Source organism: Homo sapiens, chromosome 13, assembly GCF_000001405.40.
Source record: "Homo sapiens chromosome 13, GRCh38.p14 Primary Assembly".
Taxonomy (NCBI): domain Eukaryota; kingdom Metazoa; phylum Chordata; class Mammalia; order Primates; family Hominidae; genus Homo; species Homo sapiens.
In genome coordinates, this window is record NC_000013.11 from 35,992,570 (window position 1) to 36,008,383 (window position 15,814).

At 38.6% G+C, this 15,814-nt stretch overlaps 1 protein-coding gene across 6 annotated transcripts in view, besides 1 other annotated feature; it reads right to left on the bottom strand.

Moving 5' to 3' along the window:
- DCLK1 (doublecortin like kinase 1) overlaps nucleotides 1-15,814 on the bottom strand; it is a 363,288-nt gene that overhangs the window by 223,918 nt on the left and 123,556 nt on the right. The window lies entirely within an intron of this gene.
- Nucleotides 913-1,414: an enhancer, noted in NCBI's record as "NANOG hESC enhancer chr13:36567619-36568120 (GRCh37/hg19 assembly coordinates)". NCBI's record gives its function as "activates a minimal SCP1, AML or CMV promoter by ChIP-STARR-seq in primed H9 embryonic stem cells {active_cell/tissue: H9 hESC(primed)}" and the evidence as "EXISTENCE:reporter gene assay evidence [ECO:0000049][PMID:30033119]".

Consider the following 15,814-nt stretch of genomic DNA (forward strand, 5'->3'; position numbering starts at 1 on the left):
TGAAGCTTAAAATCCAAGATCACTGGCCTTGCTGATTTTCCTTCTATCAATGACCACAAATGCCCCAGTCTCAAAACCCCAGCATCATTGTTGACCAGTATGATCATATGTTCAATTTGCCTAGGAAAGTCCCAGTTTGTGCCTGTTTTCCCACTGTCCTGACCAGTGTAGCATTTGTCTTGGAAAATGTCCTAGGTTGGACAATACATTTTATGATCACTCTATTTCTCCTCTTTCCCCTGAAAATCCTGATCCTTTTTCCTTTGTGTGACCTGGTCATTCATTCCTTTATTTTAATTCTACCACCTTTATGAACTGCACTGATATACTACTCCCCCATCAGTGATCTCCAGTCTCTAATCGATTATACACATGAAGCTACTGCTCTGAAGCCCTGGATATCTTCTCCTTATTTAATGGATTAAATCCAAATTCAGGCATTCAAGATTTTCACATCCTGGTCCTTTTGCTGTTTCTGCAGCCTTGCCTGCAATGTCTCCCTGATGTAATATGTGGGTCCAGCACAATTGCTTGCTCAGCCTCCTACGCACTGTCATATGCATCTGCTTCTGTGATACAGTTGCTCAAGCTGCTCTGCTCTCTTTTATCTAAGACCTACTCTCCTTTCAAGACCAACTCAACTCTCACTTCCTCCCGAAAGCTTTCTCTGCTGTCCCTGCCTTCGATCAATCACCTCTCCTACATGACGCTCCAGCAACAAGTAACCTCAAAACTACTGACTGAACACTTAGCACAGCCTACCTTGCATTCTTCTTTGTCTCTTTCATGCCTCAGTTCTGTCTCTCCAGGTAGACCTTAAACTCATCAAGAGCAAGGATCTTTTCTTATAATTTTTCTTATAATTTTCTTTCCTCCAACAGCCACCAAAATCTGCTGACAGAAGGCAGGAGGCAGCATAAAATACAGGAAAAGCACTGGACGTAGCATGATTTGTCTTAGACTTGCCACTTACTATCTGTGAAACTTGGGGAAAGGTTTACCTCTCATCCTCAGTTTCCGCATCTACACATTGGGGGATGAGGATGAAACCAGTACCTGCCGTGCCTTCATTACCAAGTGGTTGTGAGAATCAGGTAAAGTGAGTGTGTTCTGAATTACAAAGATTTACATACATGAGGAATTAGTTAACATTTTTTTGATGATGGTAATAACATCATCAAAGACATCTAGCCACAACTTAATCAGAACTACCTATCATATGGTGCTTCAGAGAATTCAAATTCAATTCCTTTCTCTGAACACTCATGAGAAAAAAAAAAAAAAGCTAGGATAAGTATCAGCCTTGAGGCTCCCATATTTCATTTCCTCTCTTCAAAGCCAAAGTCTTTAAAGACCTGAGTGTGGAATATGAAAGGCAGGAGTGAGGGAAAGTGACCAGTTAACATCTCTAGTCCTTCCAGCGTTTCAGACTCTTTCAAGTACTTTTCTCTCATCTGCAAAACATCCTTTTGAGATACTGGAACCAATACTATGAGCCCTTTGAAAAAAAGAAAAGGGGAAAAGTAACATGCAGCTTCCAAAAAAAAAAAAAAATCTAACATTTAGCAGGAGTAGGTTGGGGCATGGTGATTTTGGAATCAGTCACACTTTACAATTCCAGCTTCAGGCTTGACTGAAGTGTTCCAGGTGGGCAGCTCTTCTAGAACTTTCCCTGTAGCAGAAGTCTGTTCACTGATGGATGTTTGTGGCAGGAGCCAAGCGAATTAGTCAGATAAAATATAAGCGTGAAAACAGGAAAGTGGTTCTCCTGAAGTTTCTTTTCTAGCTGTAAGCTTCCACACCACAGAATAGTCAATCACATTACAGCCCACAAGAAAAACCTGAAAGAATCATGTTCAGCTGACCTCAAACCACATATTCTTAGCTAATAAAACATCCTTGCATCAGGTCTCAAGAACACAAACTCAAAGCTAATATAAGATAGCAATTCTGCAAGACAGTTTGCCCCTGGTAATTATACTAAAAATAAAAAAAAGGCAGCCAACTGGTGAGGTTGTCTGTTCTTTTTAGAAAAGATATTTCATGTTCCCTCAAGCTTCATTATCAGTGATTGGCTTGGATGAATGGGCGGCTTCCAACAGCTTTTACCCAAGGCCAGGCTTGACAAATGTGGCATGATTTTGGCAGTGCTCGGGCTCTGATTCAGTCTTCAAATGTCTGGCATGGAACATGAACTTCTGAACCTGACCTAAAGCTATTATGGGCTTTAAATTTTCAAGCAATTGCATCATTAAGCAACCAGCATGCGATGGCATTACTATCTTATCCACTGCCTAAATACCACAATGCATTTAAAGGAAGTTGACATAAATCAGCAATGAAAGGCACAGATGACGGCAATAAGAAATGGCCCATCATTAAGGTTCATTCAAAAGCATACAGGTTGGAACTGCAGCACATTCAATTTTAAAATGCAGATATGACACAAATTCAGAAAGCTATGAAGAGCAATTTGTGAATTTTCACCAAATAGCATATGCTCTGAGAAATTTTTGTCTAAGTGTTCTCCAAGGTAGCTTTGTAGTGGTGGAGTTTCTTCCTTTTCTTTCTTAAACCTCTGCTCCAAGAAGAGACAAAGCATCCACATTCAATTATAAGAGTTTTCTTTTTCACCTCAAATTACCAATATTCCCTCATCTTTTCCAATATCATATTGTAAAGATACAATCCAAATGCCTGTGTCTACAAGGATTCAGTGGAGGAAATGACTTAACATTTGAGTGAACTAAGTTCACTTTATTACGAAATCTAATTCTATCCGTTTTCAATATACTAGTTAGTATGGGGCAATATTTTTAATGGGCCACACCAAAATATAATAAAAGGAATGTAAACAGATCAGAGGACAAAGACAAGGAAACCAATCTGGTAGTTTTATTAGCAAAACCAGAAAGAATAAGAACATTTTACTTTCATATAAATGTTCCTTTGTCTTCTTTCATTTTTACTGAGGCCAATTCAAATGTTGAGGAACAATCTGGGAGGCTCTTCAGTTTCAATGATGATTAACAGAAAATTACCATTCTGAATGGAAATTTCACCTCTTCCCAACTCATTAGAATACACTGGCTTTTCTGACTAAATCACAGGTGAGCAAATAATAGAAGACTGCTTATTTTTAGCAGCAGGCTGTGAGAGACAACCTCAAAAAAGATAAACTAACCCACGTACGTGAGATCACACGTTTTTACCATAAATCTTTGTTTCCTGGCTGTTCTTATAAATGCAAATCTAGCAGAAATGTTACAAACATAAGCAATAAGATTACAACAGTTTTCCTAAAATATCTTCTATATTAGGCTTTACTTAAGGCCAACAATATTTTCATCTATTTTAATTTTATTATTTCTTTTTTTTAATTTTTTGAGATGGAGTTTCATTCACTCTTGTTGCCCAGGCTGGAGTTAAATATTATGCAATCTCCGCCTCCCAGGTTCAAGTGATTCTCCTGCCTCAGCCTCCCAAGCATCTGGGATTACAGGTGCCCACCACCACGCCCAGTTAATTTTTGTATTTTTAGTAGAGACGGGGCTTCACCATGTTGGTCATGCTGGTTGCAAACTCCTGACCTCAGGGGATCTACCCGCCTCGGCCTCCCAAAATGCTAAGATTCTAGGCGTAAGCCACTGCACCCTGCCAACCTATTTTAGTTGTAAATAAAATCATCAGTGCTTTAAGAAGGAGAGATAGATTAAGGCCTCCCGTCTTCATCATTCGCTTCAGTGTGCTGGTATTGCAAACAGCACCATGTGCAATGCCCATTCCCACTTGAGGTGGTCAATTTTATGTGTCAACTTGGCTGGGCCACGGGGCCCAGGTATGTAGTCAAGCACTATTCTGCACATTTCTTTGAGGGTGTTTTTAGATGAGATTAACATTTAAATTGCTAAATTTGAGCAAAGCAGACTGCCCTCTGTAATGCAGGTGGGCCTCATCTATTGGTTGACAGCTTGAATAGAACAAAAGGCTGACCTCCACAAGCAGGAGGCCATTCTAGCAGATTTGAACTGCAACATCAGCTCTTCCTGAGTCTCCAGCTTGCCAGCCCTCCCTGAGTATTTTGAACTTGCCTGTCTCGATGTTCACGTGAGTTCCTTAAAACAAATCTCTTTCCATATATATATATACACACAACCTATTGGTTCTGTTTCTATGGAGAACCCTGATTAATACACCACTTATCTGAAGGGTATTATCCACTCTGTGCATCATCTTTTATACATGCTTTGCTTTCATCCATATGGACAGCATAACTTTATTTTTGCCCATTTAATACTGAGAGTGAGCATTCGACCTGTTGGCCACAAAGCTATAGCTATTTACTCAGAGCTTCTATTTTTAACACTCTGATTCCTGTGTTATTTATTTTACATGCAGTGAAGCCCTTTAAAGCCCCTTAACCACTTCCCTACATCTGCATGCAGGAACAGTCTCCTCCTGCTAGAAACAGAGTTTAATGATGTTTGAGTTGAAGGTAGGATGGAAAAAGCCAATTAGTTTCCAGAATGGCTCCTTTCTCTTGGGGCTACACCTTGTGGTTTGAAATTAAATCCAATATCAGCCTCATCCATACACAAATGCAAAGCCAAGGCTAGCCCACTTTGGATAATCTCGTGATCTTCTCCACTGAACATGAGCATGTATTGTCTGGATCAAGTTCTTTTTAATGATGAGGAAATATGAGATTTATTACTAATGAAGATAGGCCCCAATCCAACTAAAACCTAGGCAGATATGATTATCTTTAATTTCTTTTCTCATCTCTCATTTTAAGGGGAAAATCATCGTAGAGCAGAAATCTCAAAAACTTGCTTTGGAGGCAAAGAACATTTTCCCTCTCTTGGCTTTTTCCAGTGTGAATGGAACACGCATGGCTCTAATTTCACAGGTTAATTTCATTCTGACAATGGAAAACAGTTAAACAGCCAATCACATGTTTACATCTATCAATAGTTTTTAATACCGATGATCATGAGGTGGTGTTGGCCTGATTAGTTCAGTCCTAACCTAAAAATGACTGATTGCTAATGAAAACATTCTTTCTCATACAGAACATTCCAACTATGGTTGTAAGTCATGAAACTTGCAATGTAATAGTCTTTAAATCAGATATAAAAGAACTTCCCCCCAAACCAAAACTAAGCAAAAAACCAACCAAACAGCAAAGTATGCTTCTCATGGATTAACTACTGGCAATTGCTTTGTTCCATTATACAGAAATGTTTTGACTAACCAGAATGCATAGGTCCTGGGGTGTTTTGGGTAGCTTGGTGTAGCAATCTGAAGTTTAGCATTTTTGATTCCAGCTTATTACTGATATTTAATATAAAGCACAACCAGTCTACTTTCCCACTAAGTGTGGTCAGCAGTTTCCCATGTTCTGATTGCTGATCCAGACCATTGTTGGAGTGGCATCATCACTCGATCAATTCTTCTTTTGACATGCTGAGCTCCACTCCCACCTTCCTCAGTGGCTTTAGTTACTGACCCCCTTTTGAGTATTTTAGTGTCCCTTCAACTGCCCTAAAATTTTAACATAATTTTTTAAATTCTGAATAAAATTAAGAAGTATAAGAAAGTGTAGGAGTCTTAGAAGAAAAATTGACTCACAACGTCCTTAAGATAAAGTACAAAACTACGACACAATACACTCCTATTGTCAGAAAATGCTAAACATTTTGATAAATAATATCATTATTAAAATAAAAATGCCCTTCAATAGTTTTGAGTTTTATCATCCTAAAAAGAAAAATAGAGCCCTTTCATAATCCTCTCCATTCAATATCTCCTGCGAATGCAGAAACCTCACACCCACATTGATGGCTCTTCAGAGGCACCTCACAGCCATACGAATAGCTCTTCTGCCTCTTCGGGTCCCTGTTCTCCAGCCGATGCGTCTCTACCAATCTCCCTTCCCCTCCAATTAAGCCACTCAGAATCATCATACTTATGCCAAACTCTGGGGTCCAGAGTGGTCTTCTTGATCATTTCTAGGCAACCAAAATATTCTTCCCTCTCTCCTTATCCGTTAGTCTCTCCTTGCTTCCCTGACAGAAACTCACTATCATGCGCACTGCAGACTTTCAATAAATATTTGTCAAACATAAGATAATGGTATTGTGATTATGCTTTTCAAAAAAGTGCCCTAACCTTTTCAGAGCTACACCCTAAAATATTTCCAGGTGAGATGAGAACGTACAATGCAGAAAGAGTTTCAGTTAAAGCTGCAATTATTACAGATTTCGCTACAACAGATACTGAACATTTACTGCTTTTTATCACTGGGCAGTGAATCCAAAATATATGAGAATAAGATAATCACTAATTTCAATGGTGATAAAGGATTTTGATTTTTAGGTACAATTAAAAAATTTCCCAAATAGGCCAGGCATGGTGGCTCACGCCTGTAATCCCAGCACTTTGGGAGGCCACTGAAGGCAGATCACCTGAAGTCAGGAGTTCGAGACCAGCCTGGCCGACACGGTGAAACCCCTTCTCTACTAAAAATACAAAAATTAACTGAATGCAGTAGCATGCACCTGTAGTCCCAGCTACTCAGGAGGCTGAGGCTGGAGAATCACTTGAACCCAGGAGGCAGAGGTTGCAGTGAGCCGAGATCATGCCACTGCACTCCAGCCTGGGCAACAGAGCAAGAATCTGTCTCAAACAAAAAAAAAAAATTCCCAAATAAGTTTCTGCTCCCACAATTACACTTTTTCTGAATAGTCAATGGATATGACATTCACTCAGCACAGCTGCCAGCCTGCCTGTTCCAGAGCTGGGGTGAGCTGAATGGAATCCTCCTAAGTTTCCAAAAGTTTGGCACACTGTGTTTCTTGAGATTATAGTCAATGGTATGGGTGGCCTCACTCTTTTTTCCTTCTCTCTTTTTGTCTCTCTTCCTTCAAGGACAATTTGGAATAGAAAATCCCTGCTTCTTCCTCTCAGGACCAGCACAAAAACCCCTTCTACCTGGCTGAGCAAGGCCCTCCCTGCCATCAGGGAGACAGACTCTTTCTCCTGAGGCCTCCGACTTCCATTCTTCCTAATTTTGTTTTCTTGACACAAAGAGAGCTATTATGAGGCTGGAATTTAAAAATAGCAATATTAAACTAAATTCTATTCTCCTCATTACTGCTACCTGATGTCTTATTATGCCCTAGTACCAAACTCTTCTTGGAGGAAATTGGTAGGAGATCTGTTGGGAGATGGTCTGGAAGGATGATGCTTGCGGTCTGCTGACCTGCAGCTAGAGCTAATCCTAGACTGTTGCTTACAAGACTACTGACTTTTATACACAAATAGCAGCAATCATTGCTGAAATCTCCCAATCCACCCAAACAAGTCTTACATTCTAGGGAGCAAAACGTTTGCATCTGGGACAGTTATGCAGGAAGAGGGACTAATTACTTGATGTGGCTAAAATAGGAAGGAAAGTAAGTAACTGCAAGCTTTAAGTCAAGTGAGGCCTTTCCCCCACTTCACCCCTAACCTTGACTAGCATTCTTCTATTACATGGCCAGCCTGCCCTATTCCCTCAGTTCTTCCATGTAATCCTCAAGGCAAATCTTAAACCCCACACAATCTAAGAGGCTTATTAATGGCCGTTCCCCTCAGTGATGACTTCCTCTTTCTCACTGGGCACTTACTCTCTACTGTCATTTTTTCCCCCTGTGAGTTCTAGAGTTCCTATCATAACTTAAGGACGGAAACCAAGTCAGCTATCTTTGGATATCAACCTGCAAGAACACTCTCTGGCATGTCCCAGTTGATGGCAGTTCTAGGGGTGAGGATGAAGAAAGTCTAGGGGTCTGGCCACATCAGCAGCTACCAGGCATTGCAGGTGACAAGCTTCATCACCTAATGGCTTTGGATTTGCCATTCTCATTTGCAAGGCTGCATTAAGAGCGGGATACCATATTTTAATATCTAAAATAATATTATTAAATATTATATGAATTAGTATTATATACCATTTACATACCATTAAATACCATTACTAAAGTCATCGAAAGCAACCTAACTTCAAAGTATTTGAAAGATCATTTGAAATGCCTTATTGGGGAATTTAGACATCATAAATAAAATAAAGCCATCAAGAATAATCACAACCTGTTAACCATATGATGTTTTACAAGAAAACAAAAGCAAAATAAAAACCCTGAATATGTTCCAATGTATAAATGCAGGATCACGTATTATCTGATTTGATATTGCCAGTACTCAGCACATAGGTGACATTCAATAAATACATGTTGGTTAATTGAATGAGTAAATGTGAATTGTTTTCACAAACTTACATTTTTAATACATTAAGTATGTACTCTACACATTGCTATAAAAGTTGTATGCATAACTGATTTTTTTTTTTTTTTGAGACAGAGTTTCACTTTTGTTGCCCAGGCTGGGGTGTAATGACGTGGTCTCAACTCACCACAACATCCGCCTCCCAGGTTTAAGCAATTCTCCTGCCTTAGCCTCCCAAGTAGCTGGGATTAGAGGCATGAGCCACCAAGCCCAGCTAATTTTGTAATTTTAGTAGAGATGGGGTTTCTACATGTTGGTCAGGCTGGTCTTGATCTCCTGATCTCAGGTGATCCACCCACTTCGGCCTCCCAAAGTGCTGGGATTATAGGCGTGAGCCACCGCGCCTGGCCGCATAACTGATTCTTTAGGAGCAGTAACAAAACACAAGGTTGAAAGAAACATCCAACAGCAAAAAACAATGCTACCTTTTTGAACAGACAATAATTCTTTCAGCAACATCAAAGTAATAAAGTTTAATGGAAAGAACCAGCTGCCTATGGGTTCCAGAAGTCTCCTGGTTTGTGTGACCTCATGCAGGTCATTTCACTCTCCTGGACCTCAGTCTCCTCCTCTATAAAAGAGGAGGCTGAAGCCAGATGCCTTTTCAGGTCCCCTTCTTCCTGACCTTCCAAGGATGCTAGGACTCCTTTAGCATGGAACTCAACATCACACCCCTTGTCTGCCAGAAGACATCTCATTGACTTTGTGTTTTAAATGGAAAGGATGTGTGGCATGGAATATGATGTGCACCCTGCAAGTGATGAAGGAGACAAAAGAAGAACTGTGTGGTACCACAAGATAAAAAATGTAAGACTCATCACCCTGGAGAATCTCTAAACAAAGGTTTCCTTTTAGTTAAGTTTTTATTTGGTGGGTAATTTTTTTTTTCTTGGAAGATGAAAGATCAGAACCCACGGCCTGGATCTTACTGAATCCCTCTTAATTAACTGGGAATGAAAGCCCATCATTGTACAGATCAAGCTAATTGGAAGCTTTGCTTGGTTTCTTCTCAGTATCAAGTAGATGAAGCTTGGACGCACTGTTGCCTTTTTGTTGTTGTACAAAGAACTGTTTTTAGCTTGGATTATCTACCTTATCCCCTTTTAGGAGGATGATGAAGTTGGGTTAAAAAAAAAATCTCTCTTTAAAAACAACAACTCTACTCACAAGGCCAGGTAAAACATATGATAAAAAATAGCCAATTTTTATCCTGGGTGATGGCCAATTCAAGGCTTGGTGTAGGCAAGAATTGAAGCCTATATAAGCACAGGCTTTTTGGTCTTTTCAACATTTTTCTTTACTTTAAGCCAAGTGAGGTGACAAACATTTCCAAAACAAGTACAATACAGTTAATTCAATGTGCTGGTAACTTCCACATTTTAAAAGTGTTCTGAGTTTCAATTTAGTGTCATCCAATTTAAGTCAAAGGATTTCTTCAGCAAAACCTAGCAACCAATATTCGCTAGAATAATATGTGCTAGAGAATAAAATGAGCTTGAAATGTACTCTAAAATAACCCTTACAGCTAATTTTATCCTTCAACGTTAAATAACAACAGATTTTCTTGGAGGAATGGCAATCTTTTTTAGGGTTTAAAAAGTTATTGAAATGCTAATGCTACATTAAAATTTTGTTTCCACTGAGGCATTTTAAGCAATAAACAAATAAGAAAATTGAAGTATAGTTTTATATTGGGACACAGAGAGAAGCTCATACTTGCTGGGAGATCAAGAATTAGAAAACAAATATTGAGGCCAGTAGGAAAAGGCTGTCTCTGGCTCATCTGCAAATATATATGTGCATGTACACATGTATGTGTGTGAACATACATGTTCTTTTAGGTTGTTGCTTCTTTCAACCATCCACCATCCTTGTGACAACCACATGATTTGACTAATTGTTTTAAATCCTGTGGCAAATTAACTTAATAAATTATAAATTCCGAAGGAGCGACAGTTCTTAGGAAATCATAAAAGGCACCATTTCAACTCTAAGGAAAGCTATGGCTGCACCCTGAGGGCTGGGGAGGCCTTGTCAGGGCAGTCCCCTGCCCTGGTCTGTGCTCTTTCCCACTCTCCTCTCCATGTGACCAAAGCCAGTGGGTCTGGTCCAGGGATCCCAGGCAGATCTAGCAGTGTGTCCTCTTCTCAGCAATCTGCCCATACTTTCTAAACTATCTGATCTTATCTGAGACTGGAAAGCCAGTTGCATAAACTATTGAATGAGCATTTTGATGCCAAGCTGATTCCAATCAATCTCATGTGATTTTGGTGGGTGTGAGCTAAATTTTCCAGGCTCAGAATGTTTCTGGGACTAAACCTTGGTCTCCAAGGAGGAGAAACTGACCTTGAAGATTTTCATTCTGCCACAGACACTTATAACAAAGAATCACAGAACTAGTGCATGCGTGTGTGTGTGTGTGTCTGTGTGAAATCCACCCAATTTGCTATCCTTCATATTATTACTGGTTTGGAGAAACATGTGTCTTATACACTACTGGAGAAATATAAACTTTAGAAATCTTTGTGGAAAGCAATTTTACGACATATAACCAGAACCATAATAGCCTATTCAATTTAACTTCTTATAGGTTATCATAAGGATATATTTGAAGATACAAGAAATATTTGCTGAGACTAGGATTCATGGCAAGATTTGCTTATAAAGGCTGAAAATAAACTGGAAACAACATAAATAGGCAACAATAGGGTACTGCAACATAAGTTAGAGCTATACAAAATATACAGCCTATCAAAATTATATTAAAGAATATTGATTGAAAAACTACACAATATATGGATAAGTCAAAGGTTACAAAAGGCTACAAAACAACACAAAACAACTTGTACACTGTGACTTTATTTTCCTAAGAGATATACGGCCATCCTGAAAAGATTGGAAGGACTGAAAAGATATTTTATGGAAGTAGTTATGATTTTTAAAATTTAATTACCTGCATTTTCTGTTGCCAATTTTTCTAATAATGAGCACATATTGCTTTTGCAATTAAAAATTTAAGTTTTCTTATTAAAGAAAGAGCAATGAGTAAATAAAATTTTATATCTTTATGTTAACTTTACTGTAGAGTGTTTTGTTTGTTCTAAAATAATAATAGTCACTCTGAAAAGAAGCAAAATAAAACACAAAGATTAAATATAAAAAGTCATGGAATTGATAACAACAAAATAATACATTTATCTGATATTTTGCCTTAATATAGGCCTTTCCTTGATTATCAGAAGGGAATCAGCGTCAGCTTCCTTTTTGGAAAGCCACATCATTTTCTGAACTGTCTCTAATAATTCAGTATGTGATCACAAAATGATTCCACTGTGTCTGCATTTCCAGAGACTATCTAAAAATGGAGCTCCTAGCACATTTTACAAACAAACTTTAAAAATTACAAAAACAAAAAAGTAACATGCACTGGTTCTGGAATATTAGCTCAATGAAAGCAGGGGATTTTATCACTTACTGCAGAATCTCCATAGCCTAAAACAGGACCTGGCACATAGTGGGGGCTCAATAAATATTTGTTGAATAAATGAAAGGGTAAAGGGCTGGGGTGGGGGAAAAGAAATAGAATATAAAGTGAAAATACAACAAGAAAATTAATAAATTCATGTTATCTTAAGAAGAGAATACTCAGTGAGGCACAAAATTGCTCACAAGTTTTTTGTTGTTGTTGTTGTTGTTTTGTTTTGTTTCTTTTTTGATACAGTCTCGCTCTGTTGCCCAGGCTGGAGTGCAGTGGTGCAATCTCGGCCTCCGGGGTTCAAGCGATCCTCCCACCTCAGCTTCCCAAGTAGCTGGGACTACAGGAACACACCACCATGCCCAGATAATTTTTGCATTTTTTTCGTAGAAACAGGGTTTTGCCATGTTGTCCAGGCTGGTCTCAAACTCTTGGGCTCAAGCGATCTGCCTGCCTCGGCCTCCCAAAGTGCTGGGATTACAGGCGTGAGCCACCGCACCTGGCCTGTTCACAAGTTTTAAATAGTAATAGTTGCTACCACTTATTGTCTACTGTGTGTCAAATGCTTTATTTACTTTAAATGTACACAACAATCTGGCTAAGTATTAATATATTTACAAATAAAATTGTGGCACTGAAATTTTACATCATTAGCATGAAACTAATACAAAGAGACTGGTAAGCCCAACAGAGCTTTAATCAAATGCCACTGTATATGATTTTTGCCATTAAAAAAACTGCCAAAACTGCAGTCAAAAACCGCATTTACTTAGAGGTTTCTAAGTAAGGTAACTTTCACATGTGTCCTGAAACATAAATAAGAAGTTTGAGTGCTAGCTGATTTAATAGATTATAATTTAAAAGTGCTTGTAAGAGTGAGTATTTGGAAAGGGTAGCTGAATGTTTCTAATAAAAGGTATCTATTCTGAATGTAAAGAATAATAAATAAAATGTATATGCAAAAAGAAAAGACTTAACAAAAAACAATGATCACTCATTATCCCAACCCATTTTGGAGGTCAGCAAATGTTAACAATGTGATGATCACATATAAGGAAAATTTAGTAAATAATCTTGCATCTTGAAAGGCATATGTCAAACTATTACTAACTTCATTTTAAGGTCAAAGAGAAACAATAATAAAATCTAAAAAGATGGGAACATGCTTTCGAAGGATATCAAGTAACACTCCATAGGTATCTCTGGAAAACACTAGAAAAGGGTGCAGGGAAATATGCTATTCAACCACAAAAGCTGTAGCTGCTGCAGGCAAAGTGATAGCAAAGAGCAGAGATGGGCTAGCAGCATGGCGGCAAGCTTGTGTTGCTGGAGTTGGTAAAGAAAGTTGGGATTAGCAGCACTATTTCCAATAGCAAAGACTAGAAACCAACCGAAATGCCCATCAATGATAGACTGGACAAAGAAAATGTGGCACATATATGCCATGGAATACTATGCAGCCATAAAAAAGAATGAGTTCATGTCCTTTGCAGGGACATGGATGAAGCTGGAAACCATCATCCTCAGCAAACAAACACAGGAACAGAAAACCAAACACCACGTGTTCTCACTCAAAAGTGAGAGTTGAACAATGAGAACACATGGACACAGGGAGGGGAACATCACACACTGGGGCCTGCTGGAGGGTCGGGGGAAAGAGGATGGAGAGCATTAGGACAAATACCTAATGCATGCGGGGCTTAAAACCTAGATGACGGGTTGATGGGTGCAGCAAACCACCATAGTACACGTATACCTATGTAACAAACCTGCACATTCAGCACACGTATCCCAGAACTTAAAAGAAAAAAAGAAAGTTTGGATTACATAGAAACTTTTAGGGAAATCATGCACAAAGGAAAAGGAAGAAAATGTGAATGAAGACAAGCACCTTTTCCAGGCAGCCGTACCAAGGAGCTGGGAGACCCGCAAACCAGCGGGCAGACAGACACACAGTTTAGAGAAATGCTGTGAGAACCTCTGGTTTAAACTGGGAAGAGAAACAAGAAAGGACCACAAGAGCCACATCTACGTGTGAAACTATCAAATAAAGCATGAAACCTGATACACTGTACCATGACATTGCCAAATTTGTATGTATGTTTACATTTATATTTTAGCAATTCAAGGCCCTCTTGTGAAACAGTTTTTGCCTGCTGTACAAAACCTGCTTTGCCACTTTCCATGTTTAAAGACACCAGAGGCCAGTGCTTCCCAGGAGAGGGGAAAGGAGGGGGCGCAGCCCTGAAAGGAGAGGCCACGGGGGAGAAAAAATTACTTCATTTTGTTGTCTGAGAAACTGATTCGCAAGCTCTTGGGCAAAGAGCCTTCTATTTGGGGTGGCCTAGATCCAGAAGCAACTGTGGAGGACAGAGTATGAAGTTTGGATCTAGAGGACTCAGGTTTAGGGCAAAAGCTAGCTGACCCCAGTCAAGTAACTTACAGGTTCTTAGCTTAAGTTTCCCCATCTGTAAGGTGGACTATGATATTACTATGAGAATCAGATAAGAGAGTATGTATTTGGAAGACCGTCTTGATACCTTTAAGTATTTGGAAATATGAAAATGTCTGAATTGCTGTTTCCTGTGCTCAGATTCATAACATAATGCTTTCAAGTTCCATAAAGATTTATATCTTGATGAAAAGTTTACACAAAGAAATCAAGATCTTACCACTTAGGGAAAGTAAATGTGCATGCGAGGAGAGTGTGCCCAGAGGCCAGCAAGGCTCATTGGTCAACTCAGCAGCATGCATAAGCCCAACTATGTCATAGATTGACTGCTCACCACTCCTGCTGAGCCTCAAAGCAATTTTGAATAACTATATATCACAGACCTTCGGGAACAGCCTCAAACACCTGAAATCATGAAAATCAAATCCATGAATACCAATAGTGCCTTCTTACTGATAAAGCTTAGTAGAGATTTTTAATATTTCACAGTCAGAAGCTTCAGCCAAGACATGCAATTTGAGTGTTCTAGAATAGTGTTAGTAGGCTACAAGGCTGTATTAACACAAATGTGAATATAGAATCATACAGTCTTGAATTTGCAAAATCTTTGTCCAAGTCCTCTCTGTTCCCAGCAAAATCTCCGCCAAATTCCCTTGGAGAATCCTCAAAATATCTTGGGGTTGTGAGTAGAGATGAATATTGCATGCTGGAAAGCTCTAAATAGTCTTAAAGAAGAGCAACAAACAGGAAGGCAGATGAACTACACTAAGGGAACCGGAAGATATTCTATATTGTAAGAATATTGAATATATTCTATTCCCTAAAATAATATTTCCTTTAGGATCTTTTCCAAATCCATACTATTTGTGAGTAGAAAAACTCGTAAGGAGAGAAAGAGCAAAAGAAGAACATAAACATTGAAACATAAATCTATAAGCCATTGCTGTCTTCAAATAACTAACGAAACTGATTTGTTCTAAAGAGCATATCCATCTGATCACTTTTGGCATACAATAAAACTTAATGAAATATTTAATTATGTTATATTTAGTATATCTTGGATGATCTTTGACTTCTAAGAAGTTAGGGATCATTATTTTGTGTGTCGTATACAAACCGTGAATCATCCAGACTATAAAGGCAATCCTAAGGAGTAATTAATACAATTTTTAGTCTATAAAACTCCACATATATATTTAGGTTTCTTCTTATGAACAAAATATATTTCCAATTATACCTAATTGCAATGCCTATCATTTCCAATCACTTAACTACTAACAGGATGCTATTTTTAACACTGAACTTCTCTCTAAAATTTTTTTTTTTTTTTTTTTGGTCTCTACCATCTTTTTTTTTTCAGAGTCCACAGAGCTATTTTATTATTATTATTATTATTATTATTATTTTTTTAATTATACTTTAAGTTTTAGGGTACATGTGCACATTGTGCAGGTTAGTTACATATGTATACATGTGCCATGCTGGTGCGCTGCACCCACTAACTCGTCATCTAGCATTAGGTATATCTCCCAATGCTATCCCTCCCCCCTCCCCCCTCC